The following is a 23,830-nucleotide window of genomic DNA, read 5'->3' on the forward strand; positions in this document are numbered from 1 at the left end:
GCTGGGACTACAGGCACACGCCACCACACTCAGCTAATTTTTGTATTTTTAGTAGAGATGGGGTTTTACCACGTTGGCCAGGCTGGTCTCGAACTCCTGACCTCATGTCATCTGCCCACCTCGGCTTCCCGAAAGTGTTGGGATTACAGGTGTGAGCCACTACACCCGGCCTAGAGTAGCATTTTTAAGTTTTATGGCTGACTATAGGGAAAAGGGACTCTGATTTCTATGGGTAACCGCAGGGGAGAATGGTACTGAGAGAAAGGCATGGAAGAGAAAGTCAGAGGAAAACGTTTGCTTACGAAGCTGCTGCTGAGGTTCTCATTTTAGGCTATTGTTTTCTGAGCCCCAGCAGTGGCCAGCTGTACCATAACAATCAAGATGCATTTAAAACTTTTTCTAAAAACTAGCTCTATCCTTTAACTACTGACTTAGCCAATTACCTCCTTCTTAGAGCTACTCCTTCTCTGGGATTGCCCAGGAACCTGAGGCATATGTCATGCACAAAGGAGTCCTGTGGACATTCATACCCTTTGGAGCGGAGCCCAGGAGTCCCTAGCGGTGGTCTGTGGCTGTTTCTGCCCTTGCTCTTAACCACCACAAGGTGTCACTCTTCGCTGCTCCTGCGCGTTCCCACCAAGGCGGTAACTGCTGGCCAGAGAGGAAGAATTTCCTCTGTCCCCGCACTAGCTAATCCAGAGTCCTTACCAGTTCCCAGGGCTTCATAGTACCCAGCCCTTTCAGGCCCCCGCAAAGCCTCGCCCCGCAAGCCCGCCGCCAGCCCCAGCACTATGTCAGGACTGGCTCAGAGGAACACCCATTCCAGACAATAACAACTTTTTCTTTCTTGCCCAGGTGTTTTCAACCCTTAAACCAGACTGGGCTTGTTCTATTTTTACTTTTTAAAATTTTAACTCCTCTACTATCATTCCCAAATGGGCTTGTTCTAATTCCTTCCCGGACCATAGAGCTACAAACTTCCCCGAAGAGCGACTTCCAATTGGTTTTTAGGCATCCTTGGTGTGCCTTTCATACATAAAGGTAGGTCAAGGGTTCCCTACCTTCTCTGACAATAGAGCCTGATTGTCTCCAGTTGGAGGACCAGCCCTTAAAACAGCTAAATTCCTTTTACTTTCCCTAGAGGAAGGGGAGCTCCGTGGGGAGTCAGCTACCCGGGGGCAGACTTTCTGGCATTCTTTGGAAAAGCAGTGAAAATAAAACTCACAAGTTACATCTTCAGCAGAGTATCTGCTACATATGAATATATTGTACACATATTTTTATATGGTTGCAAACATAAAACATATAGGTCCATGTCCTGATTTTTCATGTACTGCAATGTATGTTGAGTATTTTCCCATGTCGTTGTAAATTCTTCATAAGCATTATTTGCAGTGGTTGAATGATCTTTTTTCATGATAGGGTTCTATTGTAATTTTGTAATAATTTTCTTATTTTTAGACACTGATCATTTTGTTTTTTGCTGTATTGACTATTCTTATATATTTTTATATATATTTCTGATTATTTCCTTATAAGAGACCTAGTATTGAAATTACTGAGTCAAAAACATTTGCAAGTCTTTTTATTCATGCTGCAAAAAACTTCCTAGAAAGCTTGCATCATTGTGTACTATCAACACCAAGTACCATAAGGAATGCACACCTAATTGCACCCTAATCAAAAGTAATGAAAACAATTTTATAAATCTCTCTTATCAGTGCACTGGTAAAAAAGATGTTTTAATTTGCAATTAGGCTGGACGTGGTGGGTCACGCCTGTAATTCCAGCACCTTGGGGAGGCCAAGGTAGGAGGATCACCTGAGGTCTGGAGTTCGAGACCAGCCTGGCCAACATGGTGAAACCCCGTCTCTACTAAAAATTAAAAAAAATTAGCCGGGCGTGATGGCATGTGCCTATAATCCCAGCTACTCGGGAGGCTGAGGCAGGAGAATCACTTGAACCTGGGAGGTGGAGGCTGCAGTGAGCTGAGATCCCGCGATTGCACTCCACGCTGGGCAACAAGAACAAAATTATCATCTTAAAAAAAAAATCAATTAATTACTAGTATAAATTAACATTTTAAAATTTGTATTTCTGTTTTTTATAAATTGTTAGCAGTTTTTACTTATTTATTTACTTAGAGACGGAGTCTTGCTCTGCTCCCAGGCTGGAACATAGTGGCAAAATCATAGCTCACTGCAGCCTCCAACTTCTGGGCTCAAGGGGTCCTCCTGTCTTGGCTTCCCAAAGTACTGGGATTACAGGCATGAGCCATCATGTCTGGCCCTTTTACTCATTTATTTATTGGGATCTTAATTTTAAAATCCATTTGTATGACCCCTTTATTTATTGAAGATACCAATCTATTGTCTGCTATATTGTTATAAGTGTTTTCTCAATAAATATATTGCTTAATTTATAGTTTTATGAATATTTTTGTCACAGGCTGAACCCCCAATTTTGGGATTCAGTCAACCTGGGAGGCCACGTGGGTTCTTGGCTTTGCACAAGAAGGAATTCAAGAGCAAGCCAACAGAATGAAGAGAAAGCACATTTAATAAGAAAGTAAAGGACTGCTGGGCTTAGTGGCTCACGCCTGTAATCCCAGCACTTTGGGAGGCTGAGGCGGGTGGATCACCTGAGATCAGGAGTTCAAGACCAGCCTGGCCTGTTAACATGGCAAAACCCCATTTCTAGTAAAAATACAAAAATTAGCCGGGCATGGTGGCACGCACCTGTAGTCCCAACTCCTTGGGAGGCTGAGGCAGGAGAATCGCCTGAACCCGGGAGGCAGAGGTTGCAGTGAACCAAGATTGTGCCACTGCACTCCAGCCTGGGCGACAAAGTGAGACTCCATCTCAAAAAAAAAAAAAAAAAGAAGCAAGTAGAGGATTTTGGGAGGCTGAAGTGAGTGGATAACTTGAGCCCAGGAGTTCGACACCGACCTGAGCAACATACGGGGACCCTGTCTCTACAAAAACATTTAAAAAGTAGCTAGGCTTGGTGTTCTGCACCTGTAGTCTCAGCCACTTGGGAGGCTGGGGCGGCAGGATTGCTTGAGCCCAGGAGGTAGAGGCTGCAGTGAGCTATGATCATGCCACTGCACTCCAGCCTTGGCAACAGAGCAAGACACTGTCAGTAAATAAATAAAGCAAGCAAAATCCCCTGGTGACCATCCAGCAGGCTCCAGAGACAAAAACTCCTTATCTGAGGAATTTAGAAGTAATTAGACTTTCCTATTATCTAAAGACACTTGGTTCCAGGCCTCTTTTCAACTTAAAATGTGTGAGTAACTAGGATTTCTGTACATCCCCAGAATGCATGCATGCCGAAACTCATTGTTCAACCCTTGCTAACATCAAGGCAACAAAATGTCTAAAAATGTAATCATTTATCGTGCAAGTTACCCTTCATCTCCTGCTTTAGGTCCATAAATATCCCTAAGGAAAAGACCACCGCAGTGGCTCAGTGCTCTTGCTGACGTGCCCCACTGCACTTTTCTGCAACGTTCCTTCTTTCTATGGTAATAAAACCTGTACTGTTGTCAGTAAATTCTTACCAACCCTCAAGTTGAGTGTTACCGGAAAGGGGTCCCAGTCCAGACCCCAAGAGAGGGTTCTTGGATCTCGCTCAAGAAAGAATTCAGGGTGAGTCCATAAAGTGAAACCAAGTTTATTAAGAAAGTAAAGGAATGGGCGGGGCGCAGTGGCTCACTTTTGTAATCCCAGCACTTCGAGAGGGCAAGGCAGGCAGATCACGAGGTCAGGAGTTCGAGACCAGCCTGGCCAACATGGTGAAACCCCTTCCCTACTAAAAATACAAAAATTAGTTGGGTGTGGTGGTGGGCGCCTGTAATCCCAGCTACTCGGGAGGCTGAGGCAGGAGAATCGTTTGAACCCGGGGGGCAGAGGGTGCAGTGAGCCGAGATCGTGCCATTGCACTCTAGCCTGGGCAACAGGGTGAGACTCTGTCTCAAAAAAACAAGAAAGAAATATATTCATGTACATTTCCAAATTTCCGATAAAACAACGTAGGGTCCATGCACTATAGTCTATTTGTGGTTTTCTCCACCTCACTTTAGCCCCTTCTCAAGACCCTAAAACTACTGGAGGCAGTGAGCTACTGGGGAGTTCCTGAAGGGCGAGCACTTTTTCCACTCATTTCTAAAATAAAAAGTTATGAAAAAAATAATAATTTTTATCTGACTAATGCAAATCCTTTTTTTTTTTTTTTAAGAAAGGGTCCTGCTTTGTTTCCCAGGCTGGAGTGCAGTGGCATGATCACAGCCCAGTGCAGCCTTGACCTCCTGGGCTCAAGCGATCCTCCCACCTCAGCCTTCTGAGTAGCTGGGACTACAGATGGGCACCACAACACCTGGCTAATTTTTTATTTATTTATTTGTAGAAAAGAGGTTTCTTGACTGTGCGCGGTGGCTCACGCCTATAATCCTAGCACTCTGGGAGGCCAAGGTGAGGTGGACAACTTGAGGTCAGGAGTTCGAGACCAAGGTGACAACATGGTGAAATCCCCGTCTCTACTAAAAAGACAAAATTAGCAGGGGGTGGTGGTGCATGCCTGTAATCCCAGCTACTTGGGAGGCTATTATTTTTAGTAATAATAATAATTTAGTAATTTTTGTATTTTGTATTTTCACCATGTTGGTCAGGCTTGTCTTGAACTCCTGACCTCAGGTGATTCACCCACCTCGGCCTCCCAAAGTGCTGGGATTACAGGTGTGAGCCACCACGCCCCGCCACCAAAACCAGTTTTATTGAGGCAGCAGTGTTACCGCTCTGTAACTGCTCCTGCAGGAAGAGCTAGCCCATAGTCAGTGTGTGGAGAGTAGCAGCTAAGGGGCAGTTCCACAGTCATATTTATACCCACTTTTAATTACATGCAAATTAAGGGATGGGTTTTTCAGAAATTTCTAGGAAAAGGGTATAACTCCCAGGTTGTTGCCATGGAAAGGGGCAGTAACTTCTGGGTGTTGCCAGGGCACTGGTAAACTGACATGGCACTGGTGGGCATGTGTTATGGAGAGGTGCTTTCCCCTCTTCCCTGTTTCAGCTAGTCTTCAATCTGGCCTGGAGTACAGGCCTGCCTCCTGCCTCACAACTGCTGCTAATCAGGATGTATACTGAGGGTAACTTGACTCTATGCTCCCAGTTTGCAATATCTAGCTTGGCCCAAATAGATCCTCTGTCTTACTATTGTTATTTATTTTTTTTTAAGAGAAAAGGTCTTGCTCCTGTTGCCCAGACTGGAGTGCAGTGGCAGGATCTTAGCTCACCATAACCTCGAACTCCTGGGCTCAAGCAATCCTCCTGCTTCAGCCTCCTGAGTAGCTGGGACTACAGACATGAGCCACCATGCCTGGCTAATTTTTAAATTTTTTGTACAGATGGGGTTTCACTATGCTGCCCAGGCTGTTCTCAAACTCCTGGCAAGCAATCCTCCCAACTCAGCCTCCCAGAATCCTCGATTACAGGAGTGTACCACTATGCCCAGCCCCAGATAAATTCTCTACTTATATTAATTTTGCTTCAGCTTCCTTCTAGGTTGACAGTTCCCAGTTGACTCTCAAAATGTTTGTGAAATTAAGCAATTTCACTGGGGCATGGTGGCTCACACCTGTAATCCCAGCACTTTGGGAGGCCCAGGTGGGCAGATCTCTTGAGGTCAAGAGTTTGAGACCAGACTGGCCAACATGGTAAAACCCTGTTTCTACTAAAAATCCAAAAAAAAAAAAAAAAAAAAAAAGTCAACCAGGCATGGTAGCGCACGCCTGTAATCCCAGCTACTCGGGAGGTTGAGGTGGGAGAATCACTTGAACCCAAGAGGCGGAGGTTGCAGTGAGCCGAGATCATGCCACTGCCCTTCAGCCTGGGCAACAGAGAGAGACTTCATTTAAAAAAAAAAAGGCAATTTATTTAGTGATGTAAAAGTTTTCATGGATATATAAGGGAATCAGGGAGTCCTCAAGGCGGAAGAAGGTGAAGGAACAGAGCAGGGGAGGAAGAGGAGGGAGGAGAATCTCCCCCAGGCTGAGCAGACCAGGGCACTGAGCTCCAGATGTTTGCACCCCTCCTTTGTTTTCCCCATCTCTTCCCTACTCTCCAGGCCAGTCAGATGGCAAGGCCTGGACAACTGGAAGGAAAGAGAATGAAGGATGGAACTGGGGCGGCAGCTGTGTTGGCCACACAGGCCCTTCTGACTGGGCAGCATGGAGGCCACTTCTGCCAGCCTGAGAGTTGCAGAAGTAGATGGCAGGGAATCCCCTGCTTGGGGATGACACAGTAGGTAGATTAGAAAGTTGGAGAACAGGAACCGTAAGCCACTAGCAGGAACATGGTTGAAGAGCCGACCGTGGAGTCCAGACTGAGGGAGGAGGTAGAAAAGGAACAATAAGCAAGGAAGCAGAGGAGGCTGTGGCAAGGATAATGGGCAGCCCCAGTTATTCTAAGGGAAAAGGAGAGATGGAGTTGAGAGGCTGAAATGGAAGCAGCTCTGTGATGTGGCTGGCCTTTCGAGGTTACTGGAGCAGAGGAGGTAAAGGGACCATGAGCACAGGTGGTGGTGCTGTAATTAATAAGGATGAGGCCGGGCACGGTGGCTCACACCTGTAATCCCAGCACTTCAGGAGGCCACGGCAGGTGGATCACTTGAGGTCAGGAGTTCTAGACCAGCCTGGCCAACGTGGTGAAACCCCATCTCTACTAAAAATACAAAAAATTAGCTGGGTGTGTGGCGGGCACCTATAATCCCAACTACTCAGGGGGCTGAGGCAGGAGAATCACTTGAACCCGGGACACGGAGGTTGCAGCAAGCTGAGATCGTGCCATTGGACTCCAGCCTGGGCGACAATAGCGAAACTCCGTCCCCCCACCAAAAAAAATAATAAAATAAATAAGTATGCTGAAGCCACTGAGGATGAGAGCAAGACACTGGGATAAGGGGAGCCTGGTAGCCAGGTCCTAAAGCCATTCCAGAGGGCTGCAGAATGGCCCAGAGAAGAAGTTCTCAGCTAAGGCATGGCACTAATGACTAATCGATGGTTGTAATCATTTCTTCCTTTTTTTTTTTTTTTGAAACAAGGTCTTGCTCTGTCACCCAGGCTGGAGTGCAGTGGCACAATCATGGCTCACTACAGCCTTGACTCCTGGGTTCAAGCAATCCCCCTTCCTTAGCTTCCCAAAGTAGCATTACAATCAGCACCAGGAATTGAGCCCAGCTGAACTGAGCCACCATACGCATAGCAACTACAATTGAAATCTAGATGGGCGTGCTGTGCGTGAGGCAGGTGTTGGTAGGTCAGGCTACAAATTAAGTCTCAATCAATATTATTTTATTTTATTTTTTGAGACAGGTGAAATCTGAGAACATTATAAGTGAAATAAGCCAGTCAGACAAAGACAAATACTGTACGAGTCAGCTTATATGAGGTACTTAGAGTAGTTAAAATCTTAGAGGCCAGGCATAGTGGCTCACACCTGTAATCCCAGCACTTTGGGAGGCCGAGGTGGGAGGATTGCTTGAGCCCAGCAGTTTGACGCTAGCCTGAGCAACATAGTGAGACCCTCTCTCTCCAAAAATAAAATAAAATAGAATAAAATAAAATAAAATAGTCAGGCATGGTGGCACACGCTTGTAATCCCAGGTATTCCAGAAACTGAGGTGGGAGGATAACTTGAACCTGGGAGGTCAAGGCTGCAGTGAGCTATGATCACACCATTGTATTCCAGCCTGAGCAACAGAGCGAGACCCTGTTTCAAAAGAATAAAAAATAAAAACATTATAGAGACAGAAAATATGACGATAATTGCCGGGGGCTGGGGACAGGGGAAAGTGGGGAGTTATTGCTTAATGGGTATAGAGTTTCAGTTTTACAAGATGAAAAGAGTTCTGCAGATGTGTGGTGGTGATGGTTGTGCAACATTATGAATGTACTTACTGAACTGTATACTTCAAAACAGTTAAGCTGGTAAATTTTATGTTTTGTGTATTTTGCCAAAATTTTATAAAAAATTAAAAAAATAAAATCATTGGAGGCTGAGGCACGAGGATTACTGGAGCCCAGGAGTTCGTGAGCAGCCTGGGCAACACATCGAGACCTCATCTCTACAAAAAGTTAACAATTAGCTGGGTGTGGTGGTACGCACCTGTAGTCCTTGCTACTTAGGAGGCTGACATGGGAGGATCACTTGAGCCCAGGAGTTCATGACCAGTCTGGGCAATACAGCAAGACCCTGTCTCAAAAGGAAATAAAATATAATAAGTAAAAAATATTGGTAATATCCAGTTTGATAAAGATGCAGAAAAAGAGGCACTTTCATAAACTGTTAGTAGAAGCATAAATTGAAGGAGCCTTTGAGAATGTGGTTTAGCAATATCTATCAATACTTTAAATGAGTACATTCTTTGAATCAACTTGTACTTTTGGGTATCTATCCTAGAGAAATATTTGCATAGGTGTATATAGAGACATGCACACACTGGCTGTAATGTAAAAAGGTTTGAATTGACCTAAATATTGATCAACAATGAGTGGTTAAACTGATTAAGTTAGAGTCATAGTGTTTAATTTTAAGTACAGTTGATGCTTATTATCTGAGGGAGTTGTTCTCTAATATCACATTACAAACACTGAATTCACAAATATGGAACCATTGCTCCTAGAGGAAATACAGGGTTGGTTCCTGTAAGCCTCTGGTCACAATATTTTCATTAATCAATCATGTGTGCTTCTGTTTGAAATACATTATTCAGTGTACCTTTCTTACAAATGATTGATTGCATAGTCCTTCAAAGATTTAAAGCCTGGGGTTTGGAGGCTATTTGCATTATATAGGTTAATTTGCCAATGTCCTTGTAAAACAAGCCAGTCTTTTTTTTTTTTTTTTTTACACTTTAAGTTTTAGGGTACATGTGCACAATGTGCAGGTTAGTTACATATGTATACATGTGCCATGCTGGTGTGCTGCACCCATTAACTCGTCATTTAGCATTAGGTATATCTCTTAATGCTATCCCTCCCCGCTCCCCCCACCCCACAACAGTCCCCAGAGTGTGATGTTCCCCTTCCTGTGTCCATGTGTTCTCATTAAAACAAGCCAGCCTTATCAGAGTTGAAAAACTGCTTTCCTACCTAACCCTTACCCTTTTCCCATATTACACTTAGTTTGTATAGCTTTTTTTTTTTTGAGACAGGATCTCGCTCTGTCGCCCAGGCTAGAGTGCAGTGGCACAATCTCAGCTCACTGCAACCTCCACCTCTCAGGTTCAAGCAATTCTCCCACCTCAGCCTCCTGAATAGCTGGGACTACAGACATGTACCGCCACGCCCAGTTAATTTTTATATTTTTTTGGTAGAGGTGGGGTTTTACCATGTTGGGCAGGCTGGTCTTGAACTCCTGACTTCAAGTAGGGATCTGCTTGCTTAGGCCTCCCAAAGTGTTGGGATTACAGGTGTGAGCCACCATGCCTGGCCTTGTATAACTTTTTTTTTTTTTTTTTGAGACAGGGTCTCTGTTGCCCAGGCTGGAGCGCAGTGACTCAATCACAGCTCACAGTAGTCTTGACCTCCTGGGCTCAAACGGTCCTCCCACCTCAGCCTCCTGAGTAGCTGGGACTACAGGTTCAAGAAACCATGCCCAGCTAATTTTTATTAATAGAGACAGGGTCTCCCTATGTTGCCCAGGCTGGTCTATGAACTCCTGGACTCAAGCAATCCGCCCACCTCAGCCTCCCAAAGTGCTAAGATTACAGGTGTCAGCCACCATGCCCGGCCTTTAGCTTGTATGTTTAAAATTATTCTGCAGCCTCGCGATCTGTAGAACTTGCCTATAAAAATAACACTTTTAATGTTATAACACATTTTGAAACATTTGAGGCAGTAATACTAGCTAAGCCAGTTTAACATTTTCCTGACCCAATGTGACTGTAAATTTCTTTGGCTTTTCAGCCTCACAACAGCTGTCTAATGCCCTTTTTTCTTTTTTTATTGGTCATCATCTCCTGAATCCACAAATTTGGCCACTTTTGTATCTTTTCCACAGCTTCATCATACACTACAGACATTACTCTATTTAGCACTTTCTGGAGCAGCCTCAGGTACAGGTTGCCCAATGTCCTCTTCCTTTTTCTAGGTATGTTGTGTTGTTGATTCATTGAGGAACTCACAGCACTATGACTCCTGTCTGAATGAAGCTTATCTAACCATGTCTGCCAGGCACGTCCCATCACAGCCTTCTTGATCATACAAACACTAGATAACACTTCAGCACTGCACTGCACTTCAGCACTTTTGCATTTAAAAACCAAAATCGGCTGGGCGCTGTGGCTCACGCCTCTAATCCCAGCACTTCGGGAGGCTGAGGTGGGTGGATCATTTGAGGTCGGGAGTTCAAGACCAGCCTGGCCAACATGGTGTACCCCATCTCTACTAAAAATACAAAAATTAGCTGGGCGTGGTGTCACACACCTCTAGTCCCAGCTACTCAGGAGGCTGAGGCAGGAGAGTCGCTTGAACCCAGGAGACGGAGGTTGCAGTGAGCCAAAACCTCACCACTGTACTCCAGCCTGGGTGACAGAGCAAGACTCCGTTTCAAAAAAATAAAAAACATAAATATAAATAGCAAAATCAACAGCAAAAAGCATAAACATTCAAAAAAAAAAAGTGGCACCAAATGGACCACAGGAGGAACACTTGTATGACAGATGAAGCAAGAAGACAGTGTCGCCCTGTTCAGCCTCATTTAGGAATGTGTGCGTCAAGCAACTCAGATTTTTCACTGCTTTGCACATGTCTACAAATGATCCCCAAAGCTATATGAATATTGATTTTGGGGTTACAAATAAATGCAATGAGTAGGCAAATTCACAAATATGGAATCCACAAATAATGAGGATAGACCATATGTATTAAAAATAATACAATGGGCCGGGTGTGGTGGCTCAAGCCTGTAATCCCAGCACTTTGGGAGGCCGAGGCAGGCGGATCACCTGAGATCAGGAGTTCGAGAACAGCCTGGCCGACATGGTGAAACCTCATCTCTGCTGAAAATACAAAATTAGCTGGACGTGGTGGTGTGCGCCTGTAATCCCAGCTACTTGGGAGGCTGAGGCAGGAGAATTGCTTGAACCCGGGAGGCAGATGTTGCAGTAAGCTGAGATCACACCATTGCACTCCAGCCTGGGCAAAAAGAGCGAAACTTCGTCTCAAAAAAAAAAAAAGAATACAGTAGATCAGTATGTATTTGCATAGAAGGAGGCCTGTGATATGTTTTCAATCAAAAAAAGAAGCTGAGGCTGGGTGTGGTGGCTCACATCTATAATCCCAGCACTTTGGGAGGCCAAGGTGGGCAGATCGCTTGAGGCCAGGAGTTCGCCACCAACCTGGGCAACACGGCAAAAACCCATCTCTACAAAAAATACAAAAATTAGCCAGGTGTGGTGGCTACACCTGTAGTCCCAGTTACTCATGAGGCTAAAGTGGGAGGATCACTTGACCCCAGGAGGCGGAGGGGTCTCAATGAGCCAGGATCATGCCACTGCACTTTAGCCTGGGTGACAAAGCAAGAACCTGTCTCAAAAATAAAATAAAATAAAATAATATAAAAGAAGCTGGTCATGATGGCATGTGCCTGTGGTATCAGCTACTCGAGAGGCTATGGGAGGATCGCTTGAGCCCAGGAGTTTGAGACCAGCATGGGCAACATAAAGAGACCTCGTCTCTACAAAAAGAGAGAGAGAGAAAGTCATTGAACAACATGTACAAAGGTTAAAAAAAAAAAAAAAAAAAAAAGCAAACACTTATAAAAGCCAGGCAGGCAACATAAAATGGTAAGGTGGGCCAGTGTAAGACACCTGGGAATGGTGGGGGCTGGAGAGGAGGGGATCTCACTCTTCTACCAAGGGCAACCCACCACTCAGTGTCAGTCAATCCTTCCCAGGCAGCAGGGCAAGCCCAGTAATGCCTTATTTTCCAGATTTTCAAGACTCCCATGAAATATCCCAATTTTAAAAGCTGGCTACTAATTCAGAATATAAGAAGAAAATACTGCCGGGCATGGTGGCTCACACCTGTAATCCCAGCACTTTGGGAGGCTGAGGTGGGCGGATCACCTGAGGTCGGGAGTTTGAGACCAGCCTGACCAACATGGAGAAACCCTGTCTCTACTAAAAATACAAAATTAGTTGGGTGTGGTGGCGCATGCCTATAATCACAGCTACTCGGGAGGCTGAGGCAGGAGAATCACTTGAACCCAGGAAGCAGAGGTTGCAGTGAGCCCAGATCACGCCATTGCACTCCAGCCTGGGCAACAAGAGCAAAACTCCATCGAAAGAAAGAAAAGAAAGAAAAGAGAAAGAAAAGAAAGAAAGGAAAGAAAGAAGAAAGAAAGAAGGAAAGAAAATACCATGTGAGTCAAAAAAAAAACCATTATGGAGCCAGGCTTGGTGGCTGCCATAGCTGGGACTATATATGATGGTGGTTGAGGCGAGGGCTTAGGAGTTGCAGGCTGCAGTGAGCTATGATTGCACCACTGCACTCCAGCCTGGGTGACAGAGTGAATCCTCATCTCTAAAAATAAAATAAGAATAAATAAAAATCCAAAACCCATTATGGGCTACATTTGGACTACATACTGGCAGACTGGGGCCTGCAGTGTGTGGTAGAATTTATGAGAAAAATACACATATGAATAGAAAGGTACAAAAAATGATCTGCACCCCATGAAACCAGTAATAATGTGTACGTTGGGGTAGATGAGAAAGAACGAGGTTGCTGAAGGTATGGAATAGGTCTTTATCTTTTCTGTATTGTTTGTGACCTTGAACATGAAAATGTAGTTACCTATTACCTATGTACTTTCTTTCTTTAACTTTTTTTTTTTTTTTTTGAGATGGAGTCTCGCTCTGTTGCCCAGGCTGGAGTACAGTGGCGCAATCTCGACTCACTACGACCTCTGCCTCCCGGGTTCAAGTGATTCTCCTGCCTCTGCCTCCTAAGTAGCTGGGATTACAGGAGCATGCCATGATGCCCAGCTAATTTTTTTTATTTTTATTTTTAGTTGAGCCGGGTTTTCACTGTGTTGGCCACACTAGTCTTGAACTCCTGACCTCAGGTGATCCACCTGCCTCAGACTCCCAAAGTACTGGGATTACAGGCATGAGCCACCGCGCCCGGCCTACCTATGTACTTTAAAAAGAAGAAAAGTGCCCCCTGAATTAGAATACCAAACATTATTAGTCCTGTGGCCCTCTAGGTTGGGCAATATTAGAATTCTCTGCTTTGGATTGCAAGCCTTCAAAACGCAAAGTTTATATTTCAAAATTGCTTTTTAAAAAAATTCATAGTAATGTTTTCCTTATTTGGGGAATGCTGATTTTCAAAGAATGGAAACTCACTCAGAATAGCACCAGAACAAAAGAGGGATTTGGTGGGAAGGTATAGGGTGGTTTTGTAGCATCCAGGGCATGAATTGAAACCAGGCGCACAAGGAACAAGAACCCCAAGGCTGGAAGCCACGTGGCCTCAGAGCCAGTCTTCTTGTCTTCTCCTGTCAGCTTTCTACTGTTTGTTTCTGCAGTTTATTCTTCTGCTTGGTATGCCCACTTCCTAGTTCATTACACATGGCCCTATGGCACCCTCAATCACAGGGTTGCCATGACCTCAAAAGTCCTGCACACTTGGGTAGGAGTCTCCGAAATCCCACGTCCATATTCCTGGGAAAGAGAATCTGACTGTGGCCACTGAGTTTATGACCTAGATCAAATGTCCTCTCCCCATCCAACCATTGGACAAGAGGAAAGTGGGATCCTATGGTTGGCGCAAACCGGCCCCAGGGACCCTCTCCAGCAGGAAAGGGCATTTCTGAGAGATGGAGGATTTAGCCTGGGGAGGGGCCTCAAAAGGAATCCACAGATGCAGCTATTATACAAGTTCCATGTTTACAGGCACCTGTGAATGCTGAATCGGATAGAACACATTTGTTCATAAGGGAGGTAGCAGAGCAAAGTGGCCGAGATATGGGACTTCAGTAGGATAACTAACCATCCCAGTTTGCCTAGGACTGAAAGAGGTTGTAAAATTGAAAGGATACAGCCTTTCATGTAAAATTGAAAGGACCCAGCCTTTCAATTTTAAAATTGGGACAGTTTTTAAAGATTTCCCAGCATGTGAGACTTTCATTGCAAAAACCAGGAAAGTCTCATGCAAACCACGATGAGTTGGTCCCCTTAGATTTTGGAGCTGGATCTAGTTATGAATCCTGGCTCAGCTGCTGCAGCTGTGTGACCCTGAGCAAGTCACTTTACCTCTTATACCTCAGTTTTCTCCTTGCAAAATGAGAATAATAATAGTTCCCACATCACAGAGTAAGATAAGCACCCGTGAGCACTCAGTAGAAATTAGGCAATTAGGTAATGTCGACGAAAACAGTCAAACTCTATAACATATTTGAAGAAACTTATTCTGAGCCAAATATAAGTGACCATGGCCCATGACACAGCCCTCGGGAGGTCCTGAGAACATGTACCCAAGGTGGTCAAGGTGCAGCTTGGTTTTATACATTTTAGGGAGACGTGAGACTTCAATCAAATACATTTAAGAAATACATTGGTTCGGTTCAGAAAGGTGGGACAACTGGAAGCGGGGCATGGGTTCCAGGTTATAGGTGGGTTTAAAAATTATCTGCTTGACAATTGGTTGAGTTTATCTAAAGATCTTGGATCAATAGAAAAAAAAGGCCTGGATTTCTTTTCTGGAGACTGGAAAGGATTGCAGAGACCAAAGTTCTTATTTGTAGAGGAAGCCTTCAGAGAGAATACGTTGTAAAATGTTTCTTATCAGACTTCATGTCTGTGTTGATGTCAGTGCCAGCAAGGTATAATGAGGCATGTCTGAACACCACTTCCCTTCATGGCTGAACCAGTTTCTCAGGTTAAATTTTTTTTTTTTTTTTTTTTTTTTTTTTAGATGAAGTCTTGCTTTGTCACCTGGGCTGCAGTGCAATGGTGCAATCTCAGCTCACTGCAGCCTCCACCTCCCAGGTTCAAGCGACTATCCTGCCTTAGTCTCCTGAGTAGCTGGGACTACAGGCACCCACCAGAACGCCTGGCTAATTTTTTGTATTTTTAGTAGACACGGGGTTTCACCATGTTGGCCAGGCTGATCTCGAACTTCTGGCCTCAGGTGATCCACCTGCCTTGGGCTCCCAAAGTGCTGGGATTCAGGCAGGAGCCACCGCACCCGGCGTCAGGTTAAATTTTAAAAGAGCCCTACCCAAGAATGTACATGGTTGGTGGGGGCCTTAGAATTTTATTTTTGGTTTACAGTAATAATATATATGGTTAAAAAATTGTCTACAATCAATAATAATTTAATTGTACATTTAAAAATAACTAAAAGAGGGCTGGGTGCAGTGGCTCACGCCTGTAATCCCAGCACTTTGGGAGGCCAAGGCAGGAGTATCACTTGAGCCCAGGAGTATGAGACCAGCCTGGGCAACATAGTGAGAGCCTGTCTCAGTTTTAGAAAATAATAATAAATAACTAAAAGAGTATATAATTGGATTGTCTGTAACACAACGGCTTTTGAGGGGATGAATACCCCATCTTCCATGATGTGATTATTACGCATTGCATGCCTGTATCAAAACATCTCAGGTACCCCATAAATATATAAACCTACTATGAACCCACAAAAATTAAAAATAGAAGTAAAATTTCAGGCCAGGCATGGTGGCTCACACCTGTAATCCTAGCACTTTGGGAGGCCGAGGCGGGCAGATCACCTGAGGTCAGGAGTTCGAGACCAGCCTGGCCAACATGGCGAAACCCTGGCTCTACTAAAAATACTAAAATTAGCTGGGTATGGTGGCGCACACCTGTAATCCCAGCTAACTCAGGAGGCTGAGGAAGGAGAATTGCTTGAACCCGGGAGGTGGAGGTTGCAGTGAGCCGAGATTGTGCCACTGCACTCCAGCCTGCGTGTCAGGAATGAGACTTTATCTCAAAAAATAAAATACAATAAAATAAAATTTCAAAATTGGAAGCAAAACAAACAGTGAAAAGTAAGACTCACTCCCACCTCTGTCGCTCAGGCCACAGGTCCCCAGTTCCCTTCTCCAGAGTAACTACTTAGCAGTTTCTTACGTATCATTCCAGATAGTCTGTGAATTATAGAAAGGTATATACAGATCTTTTTTTTTCTTTTTCTTTTTTTTTTTTTTTGAGATGGAGTTTTGGTCTCATTGCCCAGGCTAGAGTGCAATGGCACAATCTTGGCTCACTGCAACCTCCACCTCCCAGGTTCAAGTGATTCTCCTGCCTTGGCCTCCTGAATAGCTGGGATTACAGGCACCCAACACCACACCCAGCTAATTTTTTGTAATTTTAGTAGAAACTGGGTTTCATCACGTTGGCCAGGCTGGTCTCGAACTCCTGACCTCAGGCGATCTACCCACCTTGGCCTCCCAAAGTGCTGGGATTACAGGCGTGAGCCACCGCACCCAGCCAACCTCATTATTTTTAATGGCTACATACTGTTTCATGGCCTTGGAATCATAATTCATTTAGACTGTCTCCTACTGATTGACATTTGGGTTGTTTCTATTTATTATTATTATTATTATTATTTTTAGAGATGGGGGCCTCACTATGTTACTCAAGCTGGAGTGCAGTGGCTATTCACAGGTGACATCATAGTGTACCATAGCCTTGAACTCCTGGGCTCAAGGGACTCTTCCATCACAGCCTTCTGAATAGCTGGGGCTACAGATGTGTGCCACCATGCCTGGCTGTTCCACTCTTTTGTTACTACAAACATTATGACAAACAATGTAATATTATCTTGTATACACAACTTTGTGTACATTCAGAAGTATCTCTAGGATAAATTCTTAGAAGTGGAAATGCTAGGTCAAAGGAGCTATTATCACCATTCATTGTAATTATTATAATTAATCTCTAAGAAGTCAGATGTTGGATCTACTTCCTTCTAAAGGCAAATAGTAGCTGTTATATCTGAGCATAAAGAGATCTTCTATATCAACTGCCTTTTGTGAGTAAAAAATTATTAAGTCCTGATACTGACATCTTGGAAAATTCCAGAATGCTGCTTCTACCTCTCCTCTCTTTTCATACCCCTTCTCTTTTCCCTATTTACATTGGCACATGACCACATTCCCACAAAATGTGTCAGTTGAGTTGGTGTCTTAGCCTGGGTTCCTTAGAAAAGAGAGCCTGAGGCAAAGCTTTATGAGAGTATAGAATCCCAGGGAGGCATGAGTGAAGGGAAAAGGGGAACAAGTCAAACAACGAGGACGAGTCAACATAAGAGCATGCATGATGGTCCTGACCACAACTTAGGCAAGCACAATTGCTTCCTCACTCTTAGAAGAAGCAACTGAGCTCGCATAGGGGAAGCGAGTCTCTGAGAAGCCAGAGTAAGCCACTGCATCTCTCCACACTCTGTGCAGTCACAGGAAGAGGCCCAGGTGGGGAGGGGGTAAGGAAGGGAATACGTTTATCTATAGGCTGCCATCTCCTATTGGTCGAAGTTTGCCCCTCAGGGTGTCAACTCCTTTTAGCTTATGAGTTGAGCCGCCCAACTCCTCCAGCAGCCATGGAGAAAGCCAGAACCCAAGACAGAAGTGTCAGCCTCTATGGCCAAGCATCAACCTGGAGGGTAAGCCACTGTGCATCCATGGGATTTGAGATGGTCCACAGGGTCTCTCATATCAATAGCAACAGGAAACCCACATGGCAGGAGGATAGGAGCAGAGATGCTGGTGCAAGGCCAGGTGCTGTGGTGTCATGCCCTTACGTGACATGAGGAACCTGGAGTAGCTACCACAGAGCAAGTCATTGTTAGAGTTCTGGCCAGAAAGCAAGGCAAGTGCAGGATTTGTAACGGCATGTAAAATGAATCTGGTACAGGGCCAGGTTTGATGGCTCATGCCCATAATCCCAGCACTTTGAGAAGCCGAGGCAGGAGGATCACTTGAGCCCAGGAGTTCGAGACCAGTCTGGGCAACATAGAGAGACCCCTGTCTTTATAAAAAAAAATTTTAAAAATTAGCTGGGTGTGGTGGTGCATATCTGTAGCCCCAGCCACTCTAGGGGCTGAGGTGGGAGGATCATTTGAGCCCCAAACATTGAGGCTGCAGTGAGCCATAATCATGCCTTTGCACTTCAGCCTGGATGACAGGGCAAGACCCTGTCTCAAAATAAATAAATAAATAAATAAAACAGAAAACAACAAAAAAAAACCAGTCTAGTACAGGTGGGAACACTGGCACTTTGCACACTGCACTCATTCTGAGATGTACATTTTATTACCTTTTTTTTGAGTTGGCGTCTCGCTCTGTCACTGAGCCTGGAGTACAGTCATGTGATCTCGTCTCACTGCAACCTCCGCCTCCCTGGTTCAAGGGATTCTCCCCCCTCAGCCTCCTGAATAGCTGGGATTACAGATGCCCGTCACTATGCCCGGCTAATTTTTGTATTTTTAGTAGAGGCAGGGTTTCACCATGTTAGCCAGGCTGGTTTCGAACTCCTGAACTCAGGTGATCCGCCCATCTCGGCCTCCCAAAGTGCTGGGATTACAGGCATGAGCCACCATGCCCAGCCATTTTATTACCTTTTAACATCATTGAAATCAGGATTTATCTCACAATTGACAGAATGTCAGAGTTTAATCGGCAGTTTTGTTCCCTTTCTTGGTGGTACATAAGTGGCCTTCTAGATGAAATAAGGTAATGTATTTAGGCTGATGTGTACCAACGTGTCTCTTGATATCCTTGGCCCAGAAATGTTCTCACAAAAGAGGCACTGCCCATCTTCTATGAGAAAGACCCACAATGAGGAAGAGCAATTGGCAAATTCATAAGCCAGGGATGTTGCATTCCCGTTGTCTATAACAAGCATTCATTACAATTACCATTAATATGACTATTTGTTGCTTATAGATATTGGTGTTGAAATGTTTGCTAATGTCAAGCCCAGGCTGTGAAACAAAAGTTCATTCATGTGCTCATGATGAGCAGTGGCTTTGGTTAGGTCAGAATTCAATGCTAAAAATCAATACCTCATTAGTCTTGATAAAGGAAGTGTAATGGAGTGTTTCAGCAGAGCCCAGGCTGGGAATCAGTTGGTTGTATTTTGATCTGATGGGTCATGATGCTTTTGTGGATTTGTTTGCATGAATCATTATGTTCATAAATACGGTTAAGTTACAGAAGCAAGTTACTAAATAATATCAACAGCATGAGTTCATTATTGCTTGTTTGAAAAAAAAAAGTGTGTATATGTATGAGTGTGTTTAACCAGTATGTTCCAGGTTCATGTCTACATTGATATCTTAAATCACTGTGCTCTAAAATGTAGACTTTGGTGTCTAAATCTTCACTACTCAAGGTGTTGTCCTTGAACCAGCAGTATCTCAAGCAACACCTGGGAAGTTACTAGAAATGCACAATCTCAAGCCCCATCCTAGACCGGCTGAATCGGAATACGGATTTAAAAATGCAAGCTCCCACATTAACTGACGAATGGATAAACAAAAACGGTACATTCAGCTGGATGTAGTGGCTCATGCCTGTGGTCCCAGCTACTCCAGAGATGGAGGCAGGAGGATCGCCTGACCCCAGAAGTTTGAGACCAGTCTGGGCAACATGGTGAGGCCTCACCTCTACTTTAAAAATGCAAAAATTAGCCAGGTGTGGTGGCGCGTGCCTCTGGAGTCCCAGCTACTTGGGAGGTTGAGGTGGGAGGATCGCTTGAGCCCTGCAGGTTGAAACTGTAGATGCTACAACATGGAGAAACCTTGAAACATTACACTAAGTGAAAGAAGCCAGACACAAAAGGCCACATGTTGTGTGATTTCATTTGTGTAAAATGTCCAGAATAGGCAAAACTATACAGACAGAAAGTAGAGTAGTGTTTGCCAGGGGCTGGGAGAAGGGGGTAATTGGGAGGCACTGATAATGGGTACAGAGTTTCCTTTTGGGGTGATGGAAGTGTTGTGGAATTAGATGCTGGTGATGATTGCACAACATTAGGAATAAATTTAGAGACACTGGGCTGGGCGTGGTGGCTTATGCTTGTAATCCCAGCACTTTGGGAGGCCGAGGCAGGTGGATCACTTGAGGTCATGGGTTTGAGACCAGCCTGGCCAACATGGTGAAACTCTGTTTCTACCAAAAATACAAAAATTAGCCAGGCATCGTGGCACCTGCCTGTAATCCCAGCTACTCCGGAGGCTGAGGCAGGAGAATGGCTTGAACCCGGGAGGCAGAGGTTGCAGTGAGCCGAGATTGTGCCATTGCACTCTAGCCTGGGCGACGGAGTGAGACTCCACCTCAAAAAATAATAATAATAAATAACACACTGAACTGTACACTTCAAAAATGTGAATTTTATCTTGTGAATTTTTTCTCAAAAAAATTAAAAAACAAAACCAACTTAGCACATTGCCTGCAAACTTTTAAAAATAGCATATTGCTTTCTTTCGTTCCCACAAAGGAGGAAAAGAAAATGCTGTGAAAGTCATCATATTCCAAAAAATTGCCATATGATATTTAATGTTCCCTGGCCACTCAAAAATACTGTGGATTTATTTTGGATCACCTATGTAAGTGTAATGTACAAGGTTTCCTGCAAATACAATGCTGCTGCTAACGTCATTAAAAGTAAAAATGATCAAAGTAATAAAAGGCGTTTAAAAGTTTTTTGTTTTTTTTTAAATGCAAGCTCCCCAGGTGTTTGAGAAGCAATTTGAGAAACACCATCTCCTTAACTACATGGCCTCAGTGTTGTTTCTCACCCTCATTCGGAAAATCCTTCCCTTTTCGTTTGGGAATCTCTACAGGTGGCACTATTTCACACATTAAGTACATGCCCTGCAGCCTCCACCTGCAGCCTCCTCCACCTCCCGGTTGCCTGCACTGCAGCAGCCCTGCTTAGGGGCGTGGCGCTATCATGGGGAACCACAGTCAGCAACTGATTAGGACATGGTGTCACCTGGGACCAAGGTCTCACTCCTTTGTTCTCAGTTGCTGTTATGGGCTGGCAGAAGAAACCAGCTGACACCAGACTGTTCACCAAAGTGTCCTCCTCTCTGCCTCCCTAGGCACCGCTGTACCAAAAATCTCCCCTCTCTTTAAACATAAAAGGGTTTACATTACAGGTTCATGCCTGTAATTCCTGTGCTATGGGAGGCCGAGGCAGGAGGATCTCTTGAGCTCGGGAGTTGAAGGCTGCAACGAGCCATGATCAGTTTAAAAAGAAAAAAAACACCAGATGTCAACACACATAGAGGATCCAAATGGAGTAGGGAAAGAAAGGGAGTCTCTCCCTCTCTCCAGAGATGTCTGAACTCTAGCTTCTGCTCAGAGAAAATTTTCTATTGCACAGACTTGAAAGATATGTAACAATTTTTTTTTTCTTGAGATGGAGTCTCACTCTGTCGCCCAGGCTGGAATGCAGTGGCAAGATCTCAGCTCACTGCAAACCTCCATCTGCCGGGTTCAAGCAATTCTCTTGCCTCAGCCTCCCGAGTAGCTGGGATTACAGGTGTGTGCCACCACACTAGGCTAATTTTTGTATTTTTATTTATTTATTTATCTATTTTCTTGAAACAGAGTCTCACTCTGTCTCCCAGGCTGGAGTGCAATGGCACGATCTCGGCCACTGCAACCTCCGCCTCCCAGGTTCAAGTGATTCTCCAGCCTCGGCCTCCTGAGTAGCTGGGATTACAGGCGCCCACCATCACACTTGGCTAAGTTTTTTGTGTTTTTAGTAGAAATGGGGTTTCACCATGTCGGCCAGGCTGGTCTTGAACTTCTTACCTCAAATGATCTGCCCACCTCAGCCTCCCAAAGTGCTGGGATTACAGGGGTGAGCCACTGCACCCGGCCGTTACGTAACAAAATATTAATAGTGTTTTTGTACTGGATGGTAGGAATTTTCTCTTTATGTATATTTCTAATTTTCTTTAAAAAAAAAGAATGTATATTATATAATCATAAAAATAAAGAAAAGTGTTTTGTTAGAGGAAATGAGAAATTCCCCATGGTGATGGAATATGTGATTTCAACATGCATCTTTATTTTTTTTATTTTTATTTTTTAAATTCCTCCTACTTAGGAGGAAGGTAGGGTTTAGCAATGTGTTTTATTTTATTATTTATTTATTTATTTATTTTTTGAGACAGAGTCTTGCTCTGTCATCCAGGCTGGAGTGCAGTGGCGTGATCCCAGCTCACCGCAAGCTCCGCCTCCCAGGTTCGCGCCATTCTCCCGCCTCAGCCTCCCGAGTAGCTGGAACTACAGGCGCCTGTCACCATGCCCGGCTAATTTTTTCTTGTATTTTTAGTAGAGATGGGGTTTCACCATGTTAGCCAGGATGGTCTCGATCTCCTGACCTCGTGACCCACCCGCCTCGGCCTCCCAAAGTGCTGGGATTACAGGCGTGAGCCACCGCGTCCGGCTATTTTTTATTTTTTGAGAGGGAGTCTCACTCTGTCTCCCAAGCTGGAGTGCAGTGGCGCTATCCTGGCTCACTGCAACCTCCACCTCCTGGGTTCAAGCAATTCTCCTGCCTCAACCTCCCGAGTACCTGGGATTATGAGAGCCCACCACCACGCCGGGCTAATTTTGTTTTGTTTTGAGATGAAGTCTAGCTCTGTCGCCCAGGCTGGAGTGCAGTGACCTGATCTTGGTTCACTGCAACCTCTGCCTCCCAGGTTCAAGCGATTCTCTTGCCTCAGCCTCCTGAGTAGCTGGGATTACAGGCACCTGCCACCACGCCTGGCTAATTTTTGTATTTTTAGTAGAGACGGGGTTTCATTGTGTTGGCCATGCTGGTCTCAAATTCCTCACCTCGTGATCGCCCTGCCTTGTTCTCCCAAAGTGCTGGGATTACAAGCGTGAGCCACCGCACCTGTCCTGATTTTTGTATTTTAGTAGAGATGGGGTTTCACCATGTTGGTCAGGCTGGTCTTGAACTTCTGACCTCAAATGATCCAACTGTCTCAGCCTCCCAAAGTGCTGGGATTACAGGCGTGAGCCTTCAACATGCATCTTTAAATAGAGAATTTCTGTCTTGCAAAAATTAGTGTATGAAGGTCACAAAGGCTTCCTCATACGGTTCACAGCACACAGAACAGTCTTTTTATAAAGGATGTGGGGTTGCAGAAACAGGAAATGAAGTTGGTTCCCAGATCTTGGCAGGCATAGATGGGGAGTCCCTCCAGAAATCTACTCAGGCCTCCCTCCTGCAAATGTGGGCATGCTGACCCCTTGTTATCTGTAAAGAGGGAGCTCTTAAGATAACTGTCCATTATCAAACCAATTGGTGATAATCCCTGCCTCAGCCTTTTAAATCACTTAGACCTAGACATTAAGTACTTTGTTGTGAATTTCCACCAAGGAGTTGAATTGGTTAACTATCCTGGAAGTGGTTCAGCTTAAAAGGGTTTGAGATAATTTTGCTACTTTGTTATTATTAGCAAAGATGAAAACTGCTCATTTTGTTTCTAATTTTATTCACTTTTGGGTGAATTATCTGGATCCTTTACAATGAATAATTTTAAATGGGTAATTCTAAAAATTGGTATTAAAAATTAATGTGTTCTTTAAGGAAGATTTAAAATACAGATAAGAAAAATGTATTTCTGTACTGTATTTATGTACATATATGTGTATATGTGTGTACATATGCATGAAACAGAAATGATGGTGCATTAGTGGGAAATGTTTGAATTGCAAGTGCCTGGACTTTACCATTCAAACTATCTTAGGCAAGATGGGAATATTTATTGACT

At 44.4% G+C, this 23,830-nt stretch overlaps 1 annotated feature.

Moving 5' to 3' along the window:
- Positions 457–566: an enhancer, noted in NCBI's record as "active region_10076". NCBI's record gives its function as "activates an Ori minimal core promoter by ATAC-STARR-seq in GM12878 lymphoblastoid cells {active_cell/tissue: GM12878}" and the evidence as "EXISTENCE:reporter gene assay evidence [ECO:0000049][PMID:35858748]".

Source organism: Homo sapiens, chromosome 15 (genome assembly GCF_000001405.40).
Source record: "Homo sapiens chromosome 15, GRCh38.p14 Primary Assembly".
Classification (NCBI taxonomy): domain Eukaryota; kingdom Metazoa; phylum Chordata; class Mammalia; order Primates; family Hominidae; genus Homo; species Homo sapiens.